Source organism: Homo sapiens, chromosome 13, assembly GCF_000001405.40.
Source record: "Homo sapiens chromosome 13, GRCh38.p14 Primary Assembly".
NCBI lineage: Eukaryota > Metazoa > Chordata > Mammalia > Primates > Hominidae > Homo > Homo sapiens.
In genome coordinates this window covers 36,802,172-36,829,738 of record NC_000013.11, presented here as the reverse complement: position 1 = coordinate 36,829,738, position 27,567 = coordinate 36,802,172, and the positions used below count along the sequence as shown (strand labels likewise).

Below are 27,567 nucleotides of genomic sequence, written 5' to 3'. Positions count from 1 at the left end.
CAAGGCCAGTCCTCTAGATTTAAGGGGTAGGTAAATAAACTCAAGCTCAATGGGTAGGATGAGCAGCAAAGTCACACGGCAAATGGCATGAGTAAACACAAGGATAAAAAACTGGAGACACACTGCAATACATCTACCCAAAATAAACCTTATTGCTTTATTGATCATTTTATAAGGTAAAAAAATGTCTAATGTGGCAGACAAAAATTAAATTGTGTTGAATATTGTCCTACTATTCTTATCCAAATTCATGAACAGGCAGCTACCTTATCCTAAAAAATATCCTTGGTAAAGATTCTGAGCCTCTCAGTTATCTATCCCACGTCTGACAATTACTCATCATCACAAAGTTCTTACAAATATTTAAATTCAGTCCCTTTTCATTCAGCTCTCACTGGGCTATTATTTTCCCTCCTTTCCCATTTCCATCCATTTCCCATTTCCCTCCTTTCCCATTATTCCATCTAAAGAAGCATAAGCTAATGTTTTCCACCATAAAGGGTAACTTAAGCTTCAAAAAAACTCTCAACATCGTAAGTATGAGAATAAACTAACAGTTAATAACAGACAGTAGATGAATTCCTCTGCATCTAGTAAGAATAAACTAAAGAACAGAATAAAGAAATCAGCTAACTCAAAGGTCAACAACTGGACTTTAATGAATTAATTTTGTTAAAAGTGTTTTGAACAGATATGCAAGTAAAAACACACACATTAAGAAATGAACAAAAACGTTCTTGCTCTCCATAAGTACTTCTTAGAACAGCCATGATTAAGTCGAACTTTATATATAGAGTTTAAAAAACAAGTAACAAATTTTTGTAGAGTTAAACTTGAGACACATACATTTATATCCTAATATTGGATATACTCTCTTGACATTTAATTTGTTATTCCTATTGGTAGGTTTGCCTTTTTAAAGTTTTAAAGTTTTCCTAGGAGAAAGTATAAGAAAAAGGTATCCAGATTACTTATCATTTTTGAACATTACTTAGGAATAACAGTTTTCAGATAGCTCAATTGCGAAAAACAATGACAAAATACTGGAGTGTTAGTTTTATTTTCAGGATCACCTTTTTGAAAAGGATCTTTTTCATTTTGTTTAATAAAAAATAAGTATAAGAAAAATAATTTTGTCTTGGCATTGGTGGGCTGAGATCTATACTGTTCACAAATTCAACAAACAAGAAATGTCTGCTTTAAGAGATCAGCACTAACAGGTAACATCAAAGAGAGAAGCCAACTGTAGGAGACACATCCCAGTGTGCTTAGTTAATCCGTCAGGTTTTACTAACACACCTCTGAAAAGAGATGCACATCCTAAATTCACAGATATTAAACAATAATCACTTTCCTTACGTCTATATAAAATGTGCTTACCTCTTTGACAGCTTCAGTCTTAACTGCAAAGAAAGGTTATTAAGAGAACCCAATTATAGGTGCCCCAACTACATGTTAGCACCACAAAATAGCCATCAACATTTCTTAGGAGTGTTATTGGCACTGCGGGTGAGACAATCTTTAGTATGTGGGACTACCCCTGACACTGCAGAACATTTAGCATTCCTGGCCACTCACTAAAAGCCAGTGGTTTTCAAGGTCACTATGACAATCAAATTGACCCTTGATGAGAACCACTGAGCTAGATGAGTCAAGATTAATATCTATTAACTTTATGACTTCCACAGAAAGTAACTGCTTCATTACCTTCAGTAACAATGACTGAAGAGGAATATATTTTTTAAAAAACATTATAATTAAATGTTATTTGGAAAGATAAGCTGACTTCTTCAAACTCACAGTAATCTGAAAGATTAGATGCACAAAGTGCAATACTTACTTATCCCCAAATGCACACATACATTTACAGGAAAATGTTTATGTTCTACAGGCATAGATTATTACCCCATTTATGTCTGGTAAAAAAATATGCTCATCTATTACAATAAGATAAAAAACCATGTAGATGTTCTTGGTAAGTTCCCTCACATTGATGTTCCTGGAAACTGCTGTTGTCTTTGCTCCAAAACTTGCTGATTTAATAGCTGTTGCTGTTTCTGTAAAAATTGCACTACTTCTGGACTTCTTAGTAACGACTTAGAAAGAAAAGAAAAAAATTATTAATAGCATTAATCTATGTCATTAGACTGTTTTCATGCTAATTACTCTGATGTGTCCCTACATATGATACAATATGTTCACAAGAATATGCCTGAATCAAAAGCACTTTTACATCGGATGCACTGCAACTAAGCTGCAAACTAAAAATAATGTGATGTCACACATCAAAATACTAAAACCTAAAAATAACGGGTGAAGTCTGTTATTGGTGACTTTGTGTAAAAAGGAAACACCTTCTCTAATATGCCAGCAAATATACTCTCTTGAAATATGTAAGAACAAAGAGCTAAAAGTAGCACTGACCCAGGATTATAGCAAGAAAAAAAATGGAGATGAAAGGGGGCCACATGTGAAAATAGCAGCTAAATGCCAGTTTGTACATACATACAAACTAGTGCTAGAAGTCAAGTTTCTCATTAGGCAACTAAGTCTTCATAAAGAAATTAAAAATTGTGTGTATAGGTGTGTATATATATATATGTACATATATATCGGTATATACCAAAATTTCAGGAAAAAATATAACTGCTCTAAAACATCCAATACCTTTTTGTACACTCATCACTTTAAAATATAGTTGTAATAATATAACAAATATAACAGACTATGATTAACATATTATTATTAGAGACAGGGTCTCACTCTGTTCCCCACGCTGGAGTGCAGTGGCGTGAGCATAGCTCACTGCAGTCTTGAACTCCTCGGCTCAAGCAATCATCCTGCCACAGTCTCCTGTAATAGGTTTTTATAATAAAATACTTACATAAATTTATAGAGAAAAAAATCTTTGGCCCCAATAAGCTGCAAAAAGATAAACTGAATAAAGTGAACATACTATCATTAAATACTGACTTTCAGATTATATGTATTATATCTTAGTACATTTTCTATTTATTAAACAGTTTTATTTAAAAATCATCTTAGCTGTTATGACACTGTTGGACATTTAGGCTGTTTCAACTACCTTTTTTACTATTTATGAGAAATATATTCCTGGCAATACCTTTATGTTTAACTCTATCCATATTTAGGATTTACATTCTGTAAATGTCTTCATATTAAATGTGATGTCTGAGTTGAAAGGGATGACTCCTGGTACATATTGCCCAACTGCTTTCTGAAAGTGCCATACCAATATATAATGCCATTAACTACTTGAGAATGTCCATTTCATGAAAGTCTCCACATCACTGCATCATTGTGCGTAATCGTTTAAATAATTTTCACTTTTTGTTTATTTTTACTGATATTGAATACCTTTCCATATCATTTAATGGTATTCTGCCTTTTTTTTCTGTTTCTATCTTTTGCAATGTATTGAAGCCAAAGGTTTTCCTCATCAAATTACAGGAATTTTTGTAATAAACTTTCTTTGCAGTTAAGACTGAAGCTGTCAAAGAGGCAAACATATTTTATATATATGTAAGGAAACTGATCATGTTTAATGATTTATAGGGTGCTCTGTTGCCTAGGCTGGAGTACAGTGGTATGATCATAGCTCATTGCAGCCTCGAATTCCTGGACTCAAGCAATCCTCCTGTTTCAGCCTCTTGAGTAGCCAGGACTACAGCTACATACCATCACACTCGGCTAATTTTTAAATTTTTTTGTAGATGGGGTCTCGCTACGTTGCCCAGAATGGTCTCAAATTCCCAGCCTCAAGTGATCCTCCCACCTGGCCTCCCAAAGTGCTAGGATTACAGGCATGAACCACAATGCCCAACCAGGAATATTTTATGTGATAAAATACCAGACACGTTAACCATAGTCTTTTATATTTGTTGTACATATTTTTGCTCTAGGTCATTGTGCAATTTGCCACCATTTTTGACTATAGCATTCATTTTTATGTAGTCAAGTTTATAATCTTTTCTCTGTGATTTTGTCTATATAAGCTAAAAAAAATCTCATTACATTTTTGAGGTAAAGTTCCGATTCTTTTTTTAAAATTTTGACTTATTAGGAATTTATTTTGATGTATAGTGTGATGTCATGAGCTAAAAATCTCAAAAATCTCAATTGTTCCATTTATAACAAACGTTTGTTAACACATTTATAACTGATTTACAAACAGATATTTACCAGTCTTTTTTGATTTAACACTTGTTCTAAAAGAGTAGGTCTTGCAGGACGATCCCCAAAAGATCCTGTTCTTTGTTTAACAATGGAGAGTATGTTATCTGCACTTTCCTGGGATAAATGATAAAAATGCAAATAGATAAACAGTTAACGTAATAAGTCATGATTACAGGTATTTCAAAGATGTAATGAACAGGTCTTTGCATTTCTTCCTTCTTCTTGCCCAGTCTCTGGGCAACTCTGGGAAAGTTCTTCATTATCATAGGCAAAGTATTGGCAGTTAATTTAATGTAACATTCCTCCTCGCTCCCTCTCCCCCCAGATTTTCAACCTGGGTTCTTTAGTCTCTTGGCAGGTCTCAAAATTAATAGTGTGTGTGATAGAGTGTGATATAGTAATACTGTGAGAGGTGGGCCACTAAGATTGAGGCAGAGTTACTTGTGAGCTATTTTCAATATTACAAAAAATGCCAAGTGGAATTGACCATTCTCTTTATATAATGCTATCCAGGCCGAAACATAATCTGCTTGCCTTTGGATGAAATATATGAACTCAGAGGCAAATTATATACTGCTCAATAAGATATCTGATAGCTTTTTACCCAGTTGGCAACCAAAACAAATGGGGGAGTAGTAAAATATTGTTTAAAGAAGCAACTGATAACCAAAGCTTTCAAAATTTAGATAAACTTGCTTGAAAAAGCACTAGTATAAATAGTCTCCTGCCAACTGTATGAACAAAACAGGTAAGTCCTAAAATGATACCATTACCCTGAGATTTCACTGCCCAAAAACAAAATCAGCAGCACTTATTACCAAATATGTACCCCCAGTTACCTGACAGCATCTTAAATACTTGTAATTTTGCTGGCATAACAAAATATTGTTTAGTTGACTGAAATATTCTGACTCTTACAAAACTATGCCACAATACCACATCCAAAATTCTTACTAAAGTAGCAAATATAAAATTATAAATGTTTTACCGGAAAGCCATACCTTACATGAATTTAACCTCTTTGTTCTTTACTTAGAATATTATCTATGCTGTTTTTTCTCTTGGGCTTCTTTCTACTGGCCTCTGAGTTATCTATGAGAATATCCCCTTAATTTCTTTCATTATGAGAAGTTTACCAACCTGATATTACAAAAATATTTCACCCCTAAACATTTTAGGCCTCAACATATAAAAACTGTAAAAAGAAAATTCTAATACCCAGAGGAAACAAAAATAATTTCTTCCTCCTCCAGCAACCCCCAAGTTGATTTTATTTATGAGATTCTTTCATTTTTATGTGCAAGATAATGGAATGCTGAAATTGACTTGATGGTACAGTACCCTCTGCCCTCACAACCCCACTATGGAAATTCAAAAGGTTAATTCACAAAATATTAGATACTGAATTAGATAAAGAAGCTTGTAGTGAAAATAACCTTTAGTCATCTAGTCCAAACTTGTACAGATGTTGGAATTCTTTTTCAAAAACCTGCAATGCTTTTTGTCCTACAGAGTTTACCAACTTTTGCCACATTTCATTTGGTTTTGAATAGCTCTAACATTTCGGTAGAATGTTAGGTAGCTTTACTTAAGCTGAGCTGAAATACATACTCCTTGTGATTTATGCCTAAGAGTCCTAGTTACCTCAGAATCATGCCATATAAGTCTACTGCTTCTCTTAAATGATAGCTTTTTAGATATTTAATAAGAACAATCCCACCAGCAGAGGTCAATTCATTTATCCCTAGTCCCTTTATGTGTCTCTCATATAGCATAGTTCTTAGATTGGTGGAGTAGACATTATACACATTTGTTCCTCATTTAACCTTGACTTGTGTAAGAAATATTAATTTTAGATACCTTAATTTCTTTAATTTTTTTACCTTAATAAATTCTTCATTGGAATAGAGAACTTAATTTCTAATCTTGCTGCTCACAACATAGCAGAAGACACCATCATCACCTGTCAGTCCTACTATAATAATCTTCGAAAGAGTCTCAAAATCTATAGGCTCTCAACTTTAACCCACTCCATCAGGGTAGGATCCTCTGCTACTTCCTAATTAGATCATTTCATTTAAAGACTCCAAATCCAAATCCCATAGCCTGGCATTCAATACTATAAAAAACTGGCTTCAACCTATCTTTCCAAATTTCTCTCTCATGAATTTTCCACTCAACTATTTTAGCTAGAATAGTCCACTTGCTATCTTCACAAAAGTGTTTTCTGTATTCCTACTTCTCTTTCTTTACTAAAATGTGCTTCTCTTTCCTTTTATCTACCAGAATTCTAGGGAAGCAGTATAGTAAGGAGGTAAAAGTGAAAGCTCTAGAATAAGACTGCTTGCGTTTGAGTACAATACTTGCTGGCTGTATGACCTAGGCCAAATTCTTTAGCCTCTCTGTGCCTCAGTTTCCATGTATGTAAAATATAGTATCTATCCCATTGCTGAAGGGTTGTGAGACTCCATTTATAGCTTAACACAGTGCTTGACACATAAGAAACTCAGCTCATTAAGCGTAAACTATTGCCCATCCTTTCTGGTTTATACTGAGTCACGTTTCCTCTGCAAAGCCTTTCTGGAGTATCTCAGCCTACAATGATCTATCCTCCTCTGAACTACTAAAACCGGACTATACAGTTGGCTCTTATTATATCCTGGCTGGCACTGTTATTTTCTTTACACTCAGTTTAACAAAGATAAAGATTTACAGATCTTGTTACCTCCTCAGAACTGATAAAGTATCCCAAAATATAAGACAAACTGGATAGTAAACTATTAGTATTATTTGTTGCTTATAGCAATTAATTCCCTTCCATAAAAAGTCATGCAAATTATTTTAAAATAGTGAAGCTAGGTGCAGTGGTGAAATAATCCCAGTTACTCTGAAGGCTGAGGCAGGAGGATCACTTGAGCCCAGGAATTCGAGGCCAGCCTGGGCAACACTGTGAGACCCATCTCTAAAAAATTAGATAAGTAAATAAATAACAAAATAGTAATAAGGTTCTTTTTGTGGGAGGTGCAGAGGGAGACGCTAATTCAGTATCTATCTGCCTTTTATACATTTTCCTCACTGTAGATGTAAATGTTAGGTAGTTTAAAAAAAAAAAAGTAAGCAGCCATAGGTTAACTACTTCTTTCTTGAAAATAAGTATTATTAGGCCGGCGTGGTGGGTCTCACCCGTAATCCCAGCACTTCAGGAGGCTGAGGTGGGAGGATCAGGAGTTCGAGACCAGACTGGCCAACATGGCAAAACCGCGTCTCTACTAAAAATACAAAAATTAGCCGGGCGTGGTGGTGCATGCCTGTAATCCCAGCTACTCAGGAGGCTGAGGCACAAGAACTGCTTGAACCCAGGAGGTGGAGGTTGTAGTGGGCCGAGATCGCACCACTGCACTCCAGCCTGAGCGACACAGAGTAAGACTCTGTCTCAAAAAAAAAAAAGAAAGAAAAAAAGTATTATTTTTCTCCCTCTCTAAAGAATTCTGAAGTGAATGGGCACCTGTGGAACATACTGAGGAAGAAACTTGATCACCTTTACTAACTTTCATTCTTTTCCAGATGCTTATTTCCCTAAATCCCCGTAATCAGAGATTTGGTAAAACATACTATAAGAATATGGATTGAGGGGGTTTTTAAACTAAGATTACAGAAGTCCTGAGCCCATTAATTAGTATGCAAAATTAAAGTTACATAGTGGATTTTTCTAGGAAGAGTCTTCATTAAGTCACCAGACCCTCAAAGAAGTCCTCTTACTCCAAAAGAGTAAAACTTAAGGGAAAGAGAAGTCACTCAGTCCTAACCAGTGTGAATTAAGTATGACACACTGGCAACTGCAAATTTTAGAAATATTTAGAATATTATACTTTTTGTTTTTGAGACAAAGTCTTGCTCTGTCACCCAGGCTGGAGTGAAGTAGCACAACCATGGCTCACTGCAGCCTCAATCTCCTGGGCTCAATGATCCTTCCACCTCAGCCTCCCGAGTAGCTAGGACCACAGGCATGTGCCAACATACCTGGCTAATTTTTAAAATTTTTTTGTTGAGATGGGGTCTCCCTATGTTACCCAGGCTGGTCTCAAACTTCCGGGCTCAAGCGATCCTCCCTCCTAGGCCTCCCCAAGTTCTGGGCTTACAGGTATTAGCCACTGAGCCTGGCCTAGAACATTACATTTGTAAACAATTACAAGGTCTAATATTTTAGTGATGGAGCACTTCAAGTTCAGCCTGAAACTAAGAAATTTAAAGACTTAGAATACATCCTAGGACCCTAAGACAGCTTGCAGTTAAAAAAAATTTTTTTTTTTTTTTTTTTTTTTTTTTTAAGGAGACAGGGTCTTGCTATGTCATCCAGGCTGGAATGCAGTGATGCAAACAAGGCTCACGGCAGCCTCGAACCCCTGGTCTCAAGCAATCTTCCCACTTCACCCTCCCAAGTACAGCTGGGTATACAGGCACTTGCCACCATACCTGGCTTGGATCACTTGTAACAAAATTAAATTTTTCTCTACACTAAGGGATTATATAGCTCTCACAAGAAGAAATATCTGCTTATTTGTGACAGCCTCAAAGTATACCACTAACAATGACAATAATAATGGGTAAGGTTTGCAAACTTTAGCCAGTTGCTGGACACTGTGTGAACCCTCAATATGGAATGGCTCACATATTCACAGCAACACTATGAATGACACACGATTTTAATGCCCATTTTACAGAGTTTAATAACCTATTCAAGCCACAAGGCCAGTAAATGATGCAACAGGGATTTGCACCCAGAAGTCGAACTCCAGAACACTGGTTTTACCTTTGACTCAGTTCAAATCAAACAATCCAAAAGTTTTTTGAGACTTATACCCCATTATCATCCTTTTTTTCCCCCCTCAGGGGTACTAAGAAAAGGGGTAGTGAGAACAGGGTACTAACAACAAGGATACTGAGAACAAAGTATATTAAGTATTGGGGTAGTGAGAACATGAGAACAAGGGACTAAACATAGGGGTACTGGGAACAGAGTTGTAAGAAAAGAGTACTACGTACAGGGGTACTACAGACAGGCAACTGAGTATAGCAGTACTAAAAATACGGTACTAGGAAGAGGGTTAACAGAACAGGACACTAAAAACAAAGTACTAAATACAGGAGTATTACAAATAGAGGTACTGAGAACTGGGTACTGAGAACTGGATACTGAGAATAGAGTAGTGAAAACAGAAAGAGATGACTTTCTCAGAAGTACCAACTTCATCTAGGTTCCTAAGTCTCCTTTAGCGATGAACCAGACCGATCATTTACTCTATGTCCTTCCAGCCATATCCCAGATCTATGACAGCTCTGCCGATGTCACATTATTTTTACTGAAATTTCTGCACCTATCATGAGTTCAACAGAACTGTTATTGCTTTGCACATGTTGGTATAAACTTTAATTTAGGGCAAACACTCTAATTCTCAACCACTAACCCAGTCACTGCAAACCGGCCCATTTGGAAGTGGGGAGGCAGGCCCTGCAGATGCGGTTTGCGTTAAGATCGGGTTTCTTCTTCCACCTCCCATCCCCAGGCCTCAGCTAAGTCTGATACCTCGAGTTTGACGTTTCCCGCGCTGCCAGTCGAGGCAGTCCCACCGCAGTTCAGGGCCTGGTCGCTCTTCTTCTTTTTATACTTGTCCTTGTACATCTTGTTGCGGTGTTTCTTGCACATCCACGGTTTGCGCTGCTTGGCCACCTGGCTCGTGGTCTCGCTGCAGCCTTCGTAGGTGCAGGTCTTGCTCATGCTGCCCCCACCGCTGCCCCGCCTCCGGGCGCCCCCGCTGCTGCCCTCGCCCCCCGAGTGAGTCTCCTCGTCCTCTAGATCCTCCAAACTAGCCGCGCTCTCGCCTCCCCCCGGAGGGTCCGAAGTGTCTAACAGGTCCGCCTCGTCCTCCCCAGCCTCCTCTTCGCCATCCCCGGCCCCTTCGCACAGGTACCTAACGGGCTTGCCCGCCCCAACGCTGCCCCCGGGGGCCGCAGCCTCGTCCTGCCCAGCACAGGGTTGCATCACTAGCAGGGTGAATTGAGAGGCCGCGGCCGCCACCGAGGCTGGCGCCAAGGTGGGAGCCGCAGCCGGGGCTAGGGCCGCGGGGTGGGGCACGCCGCTGGCGGCGCCCGGCCCCGCGCCCTCCGCTACACCCTGCGCCTCCATGCTGCTAAGACCTGGCCGGGGTCCACGACCCCGGGCTTTTAGCACCTGCTTGGCCTAACGGCACTTCGCGAACCAAAGACTCAGGACACGCTGGGGTAAAAGGCGCCTATACCGGGAAGGCGCCCCGACTGCGCCTGCGCGACCGCAGCCTGCGCGTCAGCGTGTGTACGCCCGCGGGCTGTCAGGGAGCGCGGCGCCTCTGGGGGCGGGGCTGAGCGCACAACCAACGGGACTGACTGCGCATGTGCGGCCGCGGCCCCTTCGGCCAGCTGGGGGATTCGTAGACAGGGTCTGGGGGCTGTGTCAGGTGAAAACCTGCAGTGGCTGGCAAGGCAGCGCCGTTTTACCTGATCCTATTGTATCTAAAGCGGTTCAAAGTATCTTCTACAGGAGTTCCAGTATGCAAATTAGGATTGTTCCTGAGCGGTCTCACGACTTGTAGTGTTAGGATGCTAATTTTATTATTTCCCCCACAAACTGCCTGCAAGGGGAGATTTGAAGCTGGGATGCAGTGGTGTCACAGCCTAGAGTCACTAGCTCGCAGTCCATGAAGGCAGAGGTGGCTTATTTGAAAATAGTGGAGCGGAGAGGGATGGGCCACACCTTTGGCCGAGTTGTATTTGCATTGAGGGATAACTTTGTTTTTTTTCTCCTGGAAACTCACTTGATTGTTAGTACTTGCTCTTTGCTGTGGCTGCTGAGATAAGTCTTAACGTTTTCGTTTAACACAGTGAAAATGTGTGAAAAGGAATACTGAATGGCAAACGTTTAAAAAAACAATGAATGTTCTACCAGTTCTATCAGTTGCTGGGCAATTGCTGGTTGTTAAATCTTGGCTTGCCCAAATCCCAGGAGAGAAAATATCCTGCCGTATCCTGAACTGTTAAGTAGATGTTCTTTTTCCCTTCATCCTATTCTTTCGCCTAGTCAGATTTCCCATCCCACCTACCGGAAAGCAATGACTTTATTCAACAAACTATAAATCCATTCACACTAAGATGTTTGGGTGCTGACATATAGGTAGATCAGTTATGTTTTAAAGAGAGGCATATGGAAGGGAGAAGGTTTGGAATTAGAGCAACCTAGGTAGTACTTCCTGTGTGACTACAGCAAGTTCGTGACAGCCTCTCCGAGCCTCAGTTTCCTCATCAGTAAAGCCTGCAGTCGGTGGTGTGCTAGCGCCAACTGATGGTAACTGGTTGCTAAAATTTCAGGAATATAATTAGCAGAAAAATTAAACACTGCTATTATTAAAAGTCTTACTACATAAACTTACAATAAGATTATATTAAAAACAAAGGGTACAAATCTCAAAACTCTTCATTTTCTAATTATTTTATTATGTTTTATCATTATCTGTGCTTTTAAGGTTATTTATGTCTATTGTATCTGTATGCGGAAATATTATTTAGTGGTGTGTTACTGCACATTTTCCCAACTCTGCCTTCAGTATGTCATGTTGATTGCTTGAAATCAGCCACTTTTGGAGTATTTACACCAGGGAAATGATCAAATGCTACGAAGCAGGTTTACACTTATTGCTGATTGTCTCTGCACTTAAGAAAGTGACAGTGAAAATGTTAATGAAGATTAAATTTAAGGCCAGGCTCAGTGGCTCCCACCTGTAATCCCAGCGCTTTGGGAGGCTCAGGCAGGTGGATCACGAGGTCACGAGTTCGAGACCAGCCTGACCAACATGATGAAACCCCGTCTCTACTAAAAATACAAAAATCAGCCAGGTGTGGTGGTCCACACCTATAATCCCAGCTACTCAGGAGGCTGAGGCATGAGAATCGCTCGAACCCAGGAGGAAGAGATTGCAGTAAGCCAAGACTGTGCCACTGCACTCCAGCCTGGGCAACAGAGTGAGACTCCATCAAAAAAGAAAAAAAGAAAAAGAAAAAGATTAAACTGAAAATGTATTCTATCTGCAGCTCTCACATTGTGAATATCCAACCCCCCCAACTGAGAAAATATTCTTTCAGTATTTGAAAACTATCATGCAATTCAGCAAAGAAACTGCTTACATCACATCATTGAACAAGTGAAGACCTTATATACATCTTCATTGTTTCACTTTTGTTTTTTCTCAATATAAACAAAAATGTCTATCAACATTCATGTCAAAACTTTATGTCCTTGCCATCATCAAAAAAAAGAAAAAGAACAAAAAGTACACTTTACTTCTTTACTGAATTGGACAGAAACCAAGCATTTATTCCTTTTTTTAAATGAAAAAATATAACTTTATTCATAAATAATGTTACTTTTTTTCTTCGACTTTTATTTTAAGCTCAGGGATACATGTGCAGGATGTGCAGGTTTGGTAGATAGATAAACACGTGCCATAGTAGTTCACTGCACAGATCATCCCATCACCTAGGTATTAAGCCCAGCATTCATCAGCTATTCTTCCTGATGCTCTCCCTCCCCCACACCCACCTTTAACAGGCCCCAGTGTGTGTTGTTCCCCATTGTGTCCATGTGTTTTTATCGTTCAGCTCTCACTTATCAGTGAGAAGATGTGGCGTTTGGTTTTCTGTTTCTGTGTTAGTTTGCTGAGGTTAATGGCTTCCAACTCCATCCATGTCGCTGTGAAGGACATGGTATCATTCCTTTTTGTGGCTGCATAGTATTTCATGGTGTATATGTATCATATTTTCTTTATTTAGTCTACCATTGATGGGCATTTAGGTTGCTTCCATGTCTTTGCTATTGTGAATAGTCAAGCATTTATTCTTTTTTTTTTTTTTTTTGGAGACAGAGTTTCACTCTTGTTGCCCAGGCTGGAATGCAGTGACATGGTCTTGGCTGACTGCAACCTCTGCCTCCTGGGTTCAAGTGATTCTCCTGCCTCAGCCTCCTGAGTAGCTGGGATTACAGGCACCCGCCACCACGCCCGGCTAATTTTTGAATTTTTAGTAGAGACGGGGTTTCACCGTGTTGGCCAGGCTGGTCTCGAACTCCTGACCTCAAGCGATCTGCCCACTTCAGCCTCCCAAAGTGCTGGGATTACAGGCGTGAGCCACCTCGTCTGGCTGCATTTATTCTTATTTTGAATTTGGGACACTGTTGTTGGTGAATTCATAAAAACTGATAGTGATTTTCATAAGAAGTCAAGTCACCTTGAAGTTATGGATGTATAGAATTTACAGTATTGAGTATTGTATATTTTATCAATGTTTGTGAATCACGTGCTAATATTCTTTATCTCAGGTAGTGACACACCCAGAACCCCAGAATTGGCATAAAGATTATTTTAAGCTGAAGACACTTGAGATTCAATTGATACAGAAAGAAGCCTTCTCAGAGCTTCCTTTATCTGACTAGAAGCTGAAACTTCTGATAAATGAAGACCATCATAAATTCCCTCTTGAGGAAAGCTACTACCAGGAGAGAGACCAAGAGTAAATCTACCATAAATACCCCATGACCATGAGTTCAGAAAACCTACATAAACATATATTATCACAAAATGCCTTATTGCTCATTTGTTCTCCTAAAACCACATTTGTTTTTCCTAAAGGAACCTATTTGTTCATCCCATAGGAACATTTACTCCGTCTTCCCTTTCCTTACTAATTTAGGTATATAAGCCTCAAATTCTAACCATCCATTTCAGTAACTCATCTCTGAGCCCTCCTATGTACATGTAGTTCTTGTAAATAAACCCTTTTCTTTTACTAATCTATCTTTTGTGAGTTTAATTTACAAGCTCCCAGGCAAGAAACCTAAGCAGGTGGGAGAAAAGTTTTGTTTCATTTCCAGCCATCAGTTAACTGGTTAAAAATTTTTTTTACCAGCATATTACTCGGAGCAGTATTATTTAAATCTTAGTACAAATACCTGTTATGGTGTTCAATAAGTGGCAGTAAGCTTAAAAAATAAACCTACTTTTTTTTGAGGTATGATTTTGCTGCGGTTTGAACATGTCCCTCAAAAGTTAATGTGTTGGAAACAATTGCCATTGTTAACAGTATTAGTAAGTGGGGCCTTTAAGAGGTGGTTAGCCCTCATGAATGGATTAATGCCGTTATGGCTTAGTTATCACAGGAGTGGGCTCCTGATAAACAGATAAATTCAGTGTCATATACTCTGTCTATGCTTGCTTCTGCCCTCTGCCCTTCAACTTTGGTATTACCCTGATCAGATGCCAGAGCTGTGCTCTTGGACTTTTCAGCCACTTGAACTGTGAGCCACATAAACTTCTGTTCTTTGTAAATTACCCAGTGTGTGGTATTCTATTACAGTGACAGAAGATGAACTAAGACAAATTTACACACCATAAAGTCCACTTATTGTAAGTATACAATTTAAAGATTTTTAGTAAATTTGTAGAGTTGCAATCATTTTTACAAAAAGGTTTTAGAACATTTCCATCTCTCCACAAAAGACCCTTATTATCCATTCTCAGTCAATCCCTGCTCCTACTTCCAGCCCCAGGAATCCACTAATCTTTGTCTCCATAGATTTGCCTTTTCTAGACATTTTGTTAGGAGCAATGAATCCGTACCGGTCTGCAGTGACCTCAATTCTTACCTCCTTACAAGAAAGAATTTGACCGAGGGGCCTAAGGCAGAGTGAGAGACTGAGCCAAGTTTTTGAGCGGGAGTGAAAGTTCATTTAAATGCCTTAGAGCAGGAAAGAAAGGAAGTGAAGTACACTTGGAAGAAGGCCAAGCGGGTGACTTGAGAGATCTAGTGCGTGGTTTGACTTTGACTTGGGGTTTTATCTGTTGGCATGCTTCCAGGGAGTTGTGTCCCTTCTCCCCTGATTCTTCCCTTGGGGTGGGCTGTCCGCATGCACAGTGGCCTGCCAGCGCTTGGTAGGGGCCGCATGTGCAGTGTGTTTACCAAAACTGTGCACATGTTCACTTGAGGCATTCTTCCCTTACCAGTTGAGTGTTTCTAGAGGAAGGTCATATACCACTTAAACTCTGCCATTTTGTCTCTTAGTGTGCATGCTTGAGCCACTTGGCCAACTCCTGAGATCTTATTGGGAAGCTGCTGATCACCAATTTTAGGTGTTTCTATCTATAGGGAGACTGCCTTTCCCTGGCGCGGGCTGCGACAAATTATTACTTTAGAGAAGCAGTTTAACCACTGCCTGACCATGATCTTCTGATGGTTGCCCTCCTAAGGGGGACACTCTCCTGCCTTGTTCACGTCTGACTAAGTACCTACTGTAACAGTTTCATATCAGTGTAATCATGTAATATATGGTCTTTTGCACCTGGCTTCTTTTATTTAGCATAATGTTTTTGAAATTCATTTACTTTGTTTCTTATATCAGTAGTTTGTTCCTTTTTATTGCTGAATATTATTTCATTGTATTGTTTATCCATCTACCAGACCATGGACATTTGGATTGTTTTATGGTTTTGGCTATCACAAATAATGGCAATAGATTTTATTATCTAGTGCTTAGCACACAATAGGTCTCAAAAGTATTTTCTGAATGACTATTAACAAAAGAGTCAGGTTAAGGGAAGGAGCTTGAGTGAATGCAGGACTTTCGGGTTCTAAGCCTGGCTTTGTTCCTAAGTGTCAGTGAAACTGATCAGGCAGGGGCCAGGAATCTCTGAGCTTAAGACTTCCCCTATACCCTCTGAGGGTTTGATAAACAGTCTAGGAAATAAGCTGACCGCAGGCAGATAAACAGGAGAAAAGGTATACACATTTGTTACTTGCACAGGCGCATAACAGAAAAGTGAATACCCCCAAATCCAGTGAGATCTAGAAGCTTATATACCTTCTTCACAGGGCAGAGCGAAGTGGGGATGTAGGTAACTCAGGGGAGAGTAAATAATTTCTGGGAAAAATGAATGGGCTCTTAGAAGAATAGATGACAGTTTGTTACAAATGTTGTCTGGGTATGGTACTGACTTCTAGTCTTCCTCTCCTGTGATAAGAGTTAATCTTCCTAGTTGATAAATCCCCCAGTGATGGGATTGGAGTTCCTTCTGGAGGATCTGTCTTTAGGGAGATAAGAGATGTTCTGAGAATGCCTCTGTCTGCACCCAATGCCTCCCAAGTGCTCTCACTTCAAAGTAGTCAGTATAACAAGGTAACTTGGGGTGGCCTTTCCTGAACCTCCTTAATGATGAAGTTGGTCTAAATGATCTGTAAGCTCTTTCCTAAGTTTAGAATGTAATATACTGTAATGACCTTTTATGCGCCTGTCACTTGGGATTTTGATTCAATTGGTCTGGCGAGGGGCCAAGGCATCCATATTATTAAAAAGCTCTCCAGGTAATTCTAATATGCAATCAGGGTTGAGAATCACTGAATTATCTATAACATACTAAGAAGTAATCTAGTATACTTAGATGTACAAACAGATATCCTAGCTCAGGAATTCGTAAACATAGTGTATTTGTCATCAACCAGTAAGATTTTGCACATATGGTATTTTTTAAGTGGTAGGAACTCAGATTATTGTCAAAGCAAAATTTTAGCATTATTACTATTGCCATTATTTCATTTAGATTCCATCCGTTTACTCTTTAAAGACTTACTGGAAAGACAAGGCATTGTGTAAATTCTGCATGGGCTTCCTCATCTCCTCTATTTATTTCCTTACTAATCCTCCTATTTCCCTATAGCCATGCACATTCCTTCTTTTGTGTTTTTGAAAATGGTGCTTATCAATTACCAAAGGAGTAGTCTTTCTCTCTCTCTCTCTTTTTTTTTGAGACGGAATATCACTCTCTCACCAGGCTGGAGTGCAGTGGCGCGATCTCGGCTCACTGCAACCTCTGCCTCCTGGGTTCAAGCGATTCTCCTGCTTCAGCCTCCTGAGTAGCTGGTGCACGCCACCATGCCCAACTAATCTTTGTATTTTTAGTAGACACGGAGTTTCACTGTGTTGGCCAGGATGGGCTCGATCTCTTGACCTCATGATCCACTCACCTCAGCCTCCCAAAGTCCTGGAGTGATTACAGGCGTGAGCCACAGCGCCCTGCCAGGAGTAGTCTCTTTAAGTGGGAAACAGTGAGATGAAAAAGTGCTTATTCTTTTTTGATAATCTGGCTTATTTTTCATGACAAGGAAGCAAGGCCTATTAAAGGGGCCTCAAGCTCTGGGGGTCAGGGTGGGGCATTGCAGTGAGTGGACAGAACTAGAACAGAATGGCATCAGAATTGAGGCAGGTCTAGGGACCAGCTGCTCTCCCCAGCTCTCTTTCTCTCAGGTCACCTACTTTTTTCTGGACAGTTTTCCTTTGTCTACCAGCTTTCTTCAGATCCTTCATAACTTGGGCTTGCACATGGCTTTCTGGTTGGTCTCTGTTTGACCTGTAGATGTACTTTGCTTGCTGTCCCCTGTTCTTTTCTGTGCTAGGGGTGGAGGCAGGCTGGACTGAACCATACCAGAATTCCCATGGTCTCTGGATTCCGACTGGGTTTGACTAACTCATTAAGTGGGCCACCAGAGCAAGGGGAAAGTGAGAGATGAGGATACTGCCTGCACTCTGCTTCTCTCCTCCACTTTGCCTCTCTGGCAGTCTCTATATCCCTCTGAGGCTACAGCTCCTGCTGAGGGGCACTCTTCCACATTACTAGGTCTTGCTGAGCACCAGTAACCCTATTTCTGCCCCCTGCTCCTTCATACCCGGGTAGTAATGGCTTCCTGCTGCTGCTACGTTCTGGATGGCTTTACCGTCCTTTGTGTGTTCTCTTAACCCTGCTTACATTTCTGCAAACAGTCTTGGTTAAAGTCTCTTTCTTTGAACCATCTATATCTTCTGTTTCTTGCTGGGACTTTAAGATATAGTGGCCATGAATGGGATTCATGTCCTTCAGTTCCTTAGGACCTTTCCATCTTAATTCTCACTGCTCACTGGTGCCATTTCTCCAGGGTTTCCATTTCAGACTCCAGATGGTAAGACTTTGTTTTGCCTAATTTGTCTTCCTATTGCTGGGTTGGTTGGAGCTCATGGAAAAGCCATGGATGGTCTACACCTGGGTAAGGTGCCCATTCTTGATCCAGTCAGTCATTGATTGGAGGAGGAATCCTTTCACATAGAACAGGGGCTGTGGCACTGCAGTTTCCCTTAAAGGGGGATGCAGGCTGGTAGGGACCAATCAATTTCAATCTACTGCTTTAATTCCACTTTCTCAACATTCGAGTAATTTAACCCTGACTTGGCCTTCTGCCTTTAGTAAAGAAAATGATATATGGTTAATTTTTATTTAACTTTAATGAAAGTTAAGAATTATTTTCTAGAACCAAAGGGCTATGCCTTTTCTCCTCTATTTCCAACTCTATACTCCATTTCCCCTTTTCTAGCTTATTTTTCTTTTTTTCTTATTTCCATAAAACAGCGTCATGTTTTCCTGAGAAGTAATTTATGCTGTGAGTTGGGGGCTGAGGAAAAGAACCATTCTAATTTTCTTTTGCCAATCACCTTTTCTTCAATCCTTTTCCAATCACCTATGAAGCTTGGTGTCCACAGAGTACCAATTCTCACCAAAACAGAACTTTACCATTGTTATTATAGCATAGGAATCACATTGAAGAATTCTGATATGAGAAATTTGTTTATGACAATCTGTATTACACATTATATCATGTATCACTATTTTATTTAATTAAAATTTATTTTAAAAAAACTCATCTTTTGCTTCCAGGAAAGTGGGAAGAATATTAGGAAAATAAAAATGAACATAGAGTTCATTTTTAAGCCTCTATTTATGTTTCTTGCATTCCTCAGTTTGTAGATAATGCATGAACAAAAAAGAGACTGTGCTCAGAATTTCAGAAATACTGTTCTGATTTTGTTTAGAACAGCCAGGAGATGACCTCCTTTGAAAGAAGATTCTAAAGAATTGTTGGATACATAACACTTTTATATTTATCTCATCGTGAAAGGTGAAGCAGTTTTAGGGCTTACATATTCTTAGATAGTCATGCCTCATTATGTTCACTTCAGTCAGAGGCTGAGTGCCTATGTTTTTTATCTTTTACATCCCAAATCATTCTTGAATCTGGCCTAACACAAATGTCACAAGATGTATTGCTCATATGTTAATACAATGCAGGATAGCACAGAAATATCCCCAAGCATGACCTTCTGTGGTTCCTTTACAAGAACAGTTCTTTTATCAACACATGTGCGTTAGTCTGTTTTGTGATGCTGTAATAGAATACCTGATGCTGGCTAATTTATAAAGGAAAGAGATTTATTTAGCTCACAAGAAGCATGGCACCAGCATCTGCTTGGCTTCAGGTGAGGGCCAGACATGGTGGAGGTCAAAACATAGTGGAGAAGGTCACAGGGAAAGTGGTCACGTGTGAAGAGGGGACAAAACAGGAGGAGGAGCCTCACGTTACAACAGCCAGCTTTCATGGGAACTAATCCATTCCTGAGAGAACTATTCCAGTCTCGACAGAGCAAAAACTTACTGCCTTGAGAATGGCACCAAGCCATTCATGAAGGATCTGCCCCCATGACCCAAACACCTCCCACTAATCCGCATCATCCAATATTGCCACAATGGGGCTCAAATTTCCATGAGTTTTGGTGGGGACAAACCACGTCCGAGCCATAGCAACATGACATATATTCATAATCATTGTGATGTTATCAGATACTCACACACCAAGCTGACTCCTGATTTGAACATTAGTAGGGAAATTTATTTTAAAAATTATTTTTCAGTAATCTACATAAGTCTGGTCCCAGACAAATAGTGTGACTGGAAGGGCAATAAGAAGCAGTCCCTGATTCACATATAAACATAGAGCTGGCAACTGGATCCATTTGCCATGGCAGCAAAAGTCTGAGTCTGGATGAGAAATAGGTGATGCTCTCATCCTTCTTGCTATATGTAGATATGGTGGGCGGGGGGTAGCTTTTTTTTTTTTTTTGAGATGGGCACTCTTGTTGCCCAGGCTTGAGTGCAATGGTGCAATCTCGGCTCACTACAAACTCTGCCTCCTGGATTCAAGCGATTCTTCTGCCTCAGCCTCCCAAGTAGCTGAATTACAGGTGCCCGCCACCACACCCAGCTAATTTTTGTATTATTAGTAGAGATGGGGTTTCGCCATGCTGGCCAGGCTGGTCTCGAACTACTGACCTCGTGGTCCACCTGCCTCAGCCTCCCAAAGTGCTAGGATTACAGGCATAAGCCACTGTGCCCGGCCAGGGGTGGTATTTAAAAAAAAACTTGTTAAATTGTTGGTTTAACTAAGTTGCTTATTTATTAAGATGCTCTTGTTTTGACTAAGATGAACTGTAATGAGGCATTAAACCCCATCAGTTTATAGCAACATTAATTTTTCCAACGATGGGAGATTTACAGAAATGTGAGTAGGTTACTTTATCAAAGGTCCATTTCTAATTAGGCAAAAAAGGCTTCTAATGACAGAGTAAAGATGATGACTTTCGTAGCCCAATATATGAAGTAGTATTTGTTCTGGGCCATTGCAATCTGGGAAGACCAGTGCCCTAACTATATTTTAGACCACTCTTGCCTTTATACCTTCATCAAGGGACTCTGAGAAGATCTCAAAGGGCAGAGATATAGAACAGGGAGACAGGGAAAGATGCCTAATTATATAATACATAAAACAGCAATTCACCTACAGATGTACTTCCGGCTTGTGTACTGCTACATTTGTGTTTAAAAGCACAAACATTCTGGTAAATTCTATTTGGCACAATTTCCATCAAAAAAGGAAAGAAATACATGGTACATTGTGTATTTACATATTTTTATTGTATGTGCTATATTCCTAACAGAAGAAGACTTCTTTTTGAGTAAGCATTGATGAGAAACAAATCTTCTCCTTATAATTTTACACATTCGATGACTAGAATAATTTTCTTTTTTTCTTTTTTCTGTCTTTCTTTCTTTTTTTTTTTTTGAGACAGGGTCTATCTCTGTTGCCCAGGCTGGAGTGCAGTGGCGCAATCTCAGCTCAATGCAGCCTTGACCTCTAGGGCTCAAGTGATCCTGTACCTCAGCCTCCGAAGTACCTGGGACCACAGGCACACGCTATCATCCCCAGCTAACTTTTTTTTTATTGCACTCCAAGGCTGGAGTGCAATAGCACAATCTCAGCTCACTGCAACCTCTGTCTTCCAGGTTCAAGTGATTCTCCTGGCTCAGCCTCCCGAGTAGCTGGGATTACAGGCGCAGGCCACCATGCCCAGCTAGTTTTTGTATTTTTAGTGGAGATGGGGTTTCACCAGGTTGCCCAGGCTGGTCTCGAACTCTTGAGCTCAGGCAATCTGCCTGCCTTGGTCTCCCAAAGTTCTGGGATTACAGGCATGAGCCACCATGCCCGGCCTCAGCGTTTATTTTTAATAAGCCCCAAGGGAATCTTATCCCTAAATTAGCAAGAGACTGTGAGAACTGGCCTACCTTATAGATTTGCCGTTATTATTGATGGGGTCCAGGACACGCTACCCCAAATATGGAAACTTGGAGGCCACTGTCTGACCTTCTCCTATCTTCATGTGTGAGAGCTGGCTGTAAAAGAATTCTTTGACATACCTCTCCTGAAAGTAGGTCATAAGAACCTCATGTGACAGGTGTCCTGCCCTAAACTCAGAGGAAAGGAATGAAGACATAGTGATGCTGAGAAGAGTCTGAACAAACAGGCCTTGCTAAGTTCCCCCAGTTTATTACTGCTAGATCATATCCCCTTTGTCCAATTATACTTTCATATGACTATCCACTCTTTATCAAACCTAGGCATGAAAACAGTTTTCTCTATTTCTTTGAGTGTTTATTTCTGAAGGCTCTCGTTTCAAGTAAAACTTTTGTTAAATAAATTTGTTAAGCTTTTCTCTCATTAATCTGTCTTTTGTTGTAGGAGTATTAGCCAGGACGCTTGTGATGGATGAGGAAAAGAAGTTACTTTTCCCCTCTACAGTATTAAATGAGACAATATGCCAGCACTTAAAAAGGGCTCAATTAAGGGTAATGGCAGGGCAATCAGTTTATTGAATGAGCTGAATTGGTAGGATTTAGGAAATAACTATTTTCTTCTACCACTTTCTTCAGACCTGATGTGTCTGCTTTTTCTTTCCCAACTCTGCAGTATGTTTTGGGACGATCCCTTAGTTTCTCTATTCAATTTCATGAATTAATAAGCAATCTCATTTTCAGGCTACAAAAAGCCTTGGAAAACAATAATATCAAACTTCATTTTTTTTTCATGTACTTTGGAGCTTCTCTCCTTTATAATTCAAGTCTGAAAATTAACTAATGGGGTGGTAGGCAGACAGCATGCCCAGTTTCTTCATTCTCCTGTCCTCCGCTTTCTCCCCTATTTACTTTTGTGATTTTTTTTTTCTTTTTGAGACAGAGTTTTGCTCTTGTTGTCCAGGCCAGAGTGCAATGGCACGATCTCGGCTCACTGCAAACTCCACCTCCCAGGTTCAAGTGATTCTCCTGCCTCAGCCTCCTGAGTAGCTGGGATTACAGGTGCATGCCACCACCACACCTGGCTATGTTGCTATTTTTGACTCCTTCAATTAAGGCACAGGGATGGGGAGAGCTAAAGTTGAAGAGCGAATCGTAGATGGTGGGTGTTACTGGAATCTGCAGTTGGGGATTTTCATGTGACAGATGTCCTAATGATGGCTTCCTTTCTGGGGGCTTCTATGACTTCTGTTCCCCTGATTTAAGTGATACCCATTACTTAGCATCTTTCTGCTGGTGGATCGCCATACTGCCACATGTGGTCCTCCTGGACAAAGTCCTTTTGGGATAACTAAACCCAACCATCTTGCCCTACCAGAGATAAAAGAGAAGCTGGCTCCTATAGCTACTGGTGTCCCTAGCCTTTTACATTTTTTATCAAGACAGCTTTAGCTAGTCCCTTGCTTTTAGATGTATTTTAGAAAGATTCAGGCAACATTCCTTGTTACCCTGCAAACTATACGGTATGTGTGTGCGATTTCTCTATAATATTTTTTCTAAGTCCTACTCATTTATCTTGAAAGGAAGAAGGGTGTTAAATTTATGAGAGTCCATTGATTTAGACTGAGCTCCTGCACCAGGTTCCTGCAGACCAAACCAGAATGCAGTCACTCATGCTCAAGTTTCACATCCCCAAACTGAAAATAGGTTGTTTAATCTGACCTTCTGAGAAATCAGGAAAGAGATGATAGCCAAATCTCTGATCAGCCCAGTTTTAGCCCATATAATAAGGAAGTCCCCTCTGCTCTAACCCTTACAACAAAAGTAATCTGACACTAACCAATCTGCTTTTTTGTATTATACTATTTCCTTGTTCCTGCTCAAGCTACCTTTAAAAAACGGACTGTTTTTCCATGTCCAGCAGAACGCCTGTCCAAATCTTGTCCAAGATGGGGTGCTGCTTGATTCATGAATTGCTAATAAAATCCAATTAAATTTTAAATTGAATTTGTTGAGATTTTGTTTTTTGACAAAGGAAACACACAGTTCACTTGCCACTCTCCTAGAAGAAATCCTCTCTTTGCATTTTATTTGGTTTTGCCACTCTCAGCTTCTCTTAGATGAAGATGTGGGCTGAAGAGGGGGAATGAGTTTCAGAGTACAGAACCAGTTTGGGACCACACTGGTGCCCTGGGAGCTGGTGTTCTCTTCCTTGGGGACTTACTCAGAACTATGAGACAACAGGAAGAAAAGTAGTTATTGTTATAATTTGTGTAGTCATGGTTTGGGCCACTTAGATCTTCAACTTTTTTCATAATATACTGTTGTTTTCTCATTCATCCTTGCCATTTTTCTTGCAGAAGAGCTCTAATGCTAAGGTACCTCGATTGCTAAGTTACCCTACCATCAGTCGAGGTGGTATATCAATGTGTACCCCCACAACCATGTTCCCAATCTCTTCAGTTTATGTTACTATCACTATTATCATGGTATCTATGCAGTCAATTGTTCATGATATGCACTAAAGCAGGAAGGTAATAGTTTGGGATAATACTGAATTTCCATGTAATAGCAGTATACAAAAAAATGTTTTAGGTTCCTTATTGCTGTCAATGAGAGTCCTCACCTGCTGAGCCTGGAAACCATACCACAAGAAGACTAATTTCCTCACTAGTTTACGTGTTGGAGGAATTCAGGAAGACGGACTTCATCTCAGAAGAAGACTCTACCTTTTAGAGAGATCTGCTATAACATATAAGCAGAATGCAGTGAATAGGGGGAAAGATAGGAATACAAAGTTGGATTAGAAAAACAGCTAGAACAAATTCAACTGGGAACAGGAACCTTCTGACTAAAAGTACCAGACTCTATATGGAGGTATACATGGCCAAAGAAAATTCACAATGCAACATTCTAAAGGCTCCCCAGAGATCTGAGCATTAGAGGATGGTCTAGCATAGGCTAAAGTGATTAAAGATCAATTACAGAAATCTGTCAGGGAACAGAGTACAAACAAGTTATGCTTTGGAAAGAGCATAAATGCCATGATCATTACTTTGGGAGACAGAGAAGCACTGAATCAAGCCATCAAAAGAAATGTCTTCCTGGAGAGCAAACTTAATTAAACATAAGGCGAGGCTCCTGGAATCTGTCCAGCGTCAGAAAAGAACTGGTCCTGCAATATCCAAGCCAGGAGGATGGACACTGACTTCACGCCATCCATGGATCCGGTTCCAATCCAAACACACCTCGTGCTGGGTGTGGTGGCTCATGCCTGTAATCTCAACACTTTGGGAGGCCAAGGCGGTCAGATCACTTGAGCTCAGGAGTTCAAGACCAGCCTGGGCAACCTCATCCCTACAAAAAAATCAACAAAAAATAAGCTGGGTGTGGTAGCACACACCTGTAGTCCCAGGCTGAGGTGGGAAGATCATTTGAGCCCAAGGAGGTCAAGGCTGTGGTGAACTGAGATTATGCCACTGCATTCCAGACTGGGTGAGAGAGCCAGACCCTGTCTCCAAATAAATAAATAAATAAATAACAAAAACACAAATACAACTCACATGATCTTGTGAGGTATTGGAAATCTTTTCATTCTGTGAACCAAATAGTCTGCCTTCAAAATTAAAGGGAACTTGCTGCAAAAAGTAGGGCAGTGGGAAACAAGCTGACATCCTTTTGAATATTTGTGTAGGCTCAGTTCCTGAGCTAAGCAAATGCCACAGACTCCCTGGGGGGTGGCAAGGACAGAGAGGACAGAGACACAGAGCTAAGCAGCACTAGTGTACTTTTAGATGACAAAGGGCTAGTAGATGGCTAAAATTAAGGAAACTACATTTAAATATTTGTTCACCATTATTGTGGTCATCGGAGGGTAGAGTATAGATGCTGCTTGTTTTGCATCATTACTTATTTCCTCTTCTCACACTAGTCTTTTTCAATTAATGTGAGCAAAATAACAGTAAGATGTCACCATCATTAGTTCTATGATTTGTGGGCCAAGCCAATTTTTGGTGGCTATCCTCCATGGCCTTTGGTGTTTATCCTCTTGAAGAGTATTTTGGTACCTGCTATGATGTGTGCACCAAGACAAGCCATGTATTTTGGGTGGGGATGGCTCTAAAGTTTGAATGTAATCAATCATGTGGCCAGAGTCTGGGTCATCCCAAGAGTTCTGATGAGTGTGAAGGGCTCCTGGATGTCTAGTGACTCCTTAAATATGTGTCAGCCTATTTTATTGGCTTACTGTGTCCTTTAAAGTGCTCAGAATGTGTGCTAGCCATGGTGGCTCACACTCGTAATCCCAACACTTTGGGAGGCTGAGGCGGGAGGATCACTTGAGCCCAGGAGTTTGAGGCCAGCCTAGGCAGCATGGTGAAATCCCATCTCTACAAAAAAATAATAATAAAAAAATTGGCCAGGTGTGGCACGTGCCTGTGTTCCAACTACTTAGGAGGCTGAGGCAGGAGGATCACTTGAGCCCAGGAGATCGAGGCTACAGTGAGCTGTTATTATGCCACTGCACTCTAGCCTGGGTGACAGAGTGAGACCCTATCTCAAAAAAAATAAAAATAAAAATAAAAAAATTAAAAAAAATCAAGTGTTCAGAATACAACAGACAGATGACAGTTTGTCATTTTTTTTTTCTATAACAAAAACGTCTAGAACTTTATTGACACCTTATGGATCAGGATGCTTACTTCATTTTTAGAACTATAGTTACAACTTCCAAATGCTACTTTTTACAAAATTGTGGCCATAATTGTGGCCAGTTTTTACCTGCCTTGACAAGAAGTTATTTTAGATTTGCTATATGAGCCTGGTGGACTCTTAGGGAAGATTTTGTTTTGATCAAAGTCTGTGGAAGTCTACATAATTGAAAGTCTACATAATATAGAATAATCTATAGGACAATTTGCCTCCCCTGGTGTGGGGTTAATTTCCATTTCATGGGAGCTATCTAGACAGCTTGTAATGCAGTCCCAGGGAACAGGACTTTTCTTAAAATCATGTTGAATCAATCAAGGAGTCATGAAAATAAAGTTGAAAAGCAAGAATTGTTATTGGAACTGATTTTTTTTTTTTTTTGAGACCATGTCTTGCTCTTGTTGCCCAGGCTCGAGTGCAGTGGCCCAAATTTGGCTCACTGCAACCTCCACCTCCCAGGTTCAAGCAATTCTCCTGCCTCAGCCTCCCAAGTAGCTGGGATTACAGGCATGTGCCATCACACCCAGCTAATTTTTGTATTTTTAGTAGAGATGGGGTTTTGCCATTTTGACCAGGCTGGTCTTGAACTCCTGACCTTAGGTGATTCGCTCGCCTCAGCCTCCCAAAGTGCTAGGATTACAGGCATGAGCCAACATGCCTGGCCTGGAAATGATTTTTCAAACAAGGTTAAAAACAGAGCTTTCATACCCTCTCTATTACGTATACTTATCATTGTTTTGTTATGAACTATAGTTGATCCTTGAAAAACAGTGGTTTGAACTATGCATGTCCACTTATATGTGGATTTTCTTCTGACTCTGCCACTCCTAAGACAGCAAGACCAACCTCTTCTCTTTGTTCTCCTCACCCTACTGAATGTGGAGACAACAAGGATGAAAATCTTTATAATGATCCACTTAATGAATAGTAAATATATTTTGTATTCCTTATGATTCTCTTAATACAATTTTCTTTTCTCTAGCTTACTTTATTGTAAGAACACAGTATGTGATATGTATAACATACAAAATATACTGTTTATGTTCTCAGTAAGGCTTCCAGTTAAGAGTAGACTATTAATATTGAAGTTTTTTGGGAGTCAAAA

General features: G+C 40.1%; 1 protein-coding gene, 1 long non-coding RNA gene and 1 pseudogene across 2 annotated transcripts, besides 4 other annotated features; 2 read left to right on the top strand and 1 right to left on the bottom strand.

The window, feature by feature from the left end:
- On the bottom strand, positions 635-10,517 carry RFXAP (regulatory factor X associated protein). The gene is made up of 3 exons (NM_000538.4): positions 9,782-10,517; positions 4,204-4,311; positions 635-2,096 (listed from the first exon to the last, which is right to left on the bottom strand). The coding sequence occupies exons 1-3, from the start codon at positions 10,379-10,381 to the stop codon at positions 1,986-1,988; spliced, it is 819 nt and encodes a 272-aa protein (NP_000529.1). The 5' UTR covers positions 10,382-10,517; the 3' UTR covers positions 635-1,985.
- Positions 7,439-7,653: a silencer, noted in NCBI's record as "fragment chr13:37396223-37396437 (GRCh37/hg19 assembly coordinates)". NCBI's record gives its function as "represses an EF-1alpha promoter that drives an FKBP-Casp9 reporter gene in an ReSE screen in HepG2 liver carcinoma cells {active_cell/tissue: HepG2}" and the evidence as "EXISTENCE:reporter gene assay evidence [ECO:0000049][PMID:32094911]".
- Positions 9,710-9,939: an enhancer, noted in NCBI's record as "active region_7590". NCBI's record gives its function as "activates an Ori minimal core promoter by ATAC-STARR-seq in GM12878 lymphoblastoid cells {active_cell/tissue: GM12878}" and the evidence as "EXISTENCE:reporter gene assay evidence [ECO:0000049][PMID:35858748]".
- Positions 9,950-9,999: an enhancer, noted in NCBI's record as "active region_7589". NCBI's record gives its function as "activates an Ori minimal core promoter by ATAC-STARR-seq in GM12878 lymphoblastoid cells {active_cell/tissue: GM12878}" and the evidence as "EXISTENCE:reporter gene assay evidence [ECO:0000049][PMID:35858748]".
- Positions 10,230-10,599: a silencer, noted in NCBI's record as "silent region_5267". NCBI's record gives its function as "represses an Ori minimal core promoter by ATAC-STARR-seq in GM12878 lymphoblastoid cells {active_cell/tissue: GM12878}" and the evidence as "EXISTENCE:reporter gene assay evidence [ECO:0000049][PMID:35858748]".
- On the top strand, positions 10,668-14,068 carry LOC124903158 (uncharacterized). Its single transcript, XR_007063760.1, has 2 exons — positions 10,668-11,572; positions 13,598-14,068. It is a non-coding gene; the product is annotated as an uncharacterized LOC124903158 (long non-coding RNA).
- NDE1P2 (nudE neurodevelopment protein 1 pseudogene 2) lies at positions 24,437-25,541 on the top strand (annotated as a pseudogene).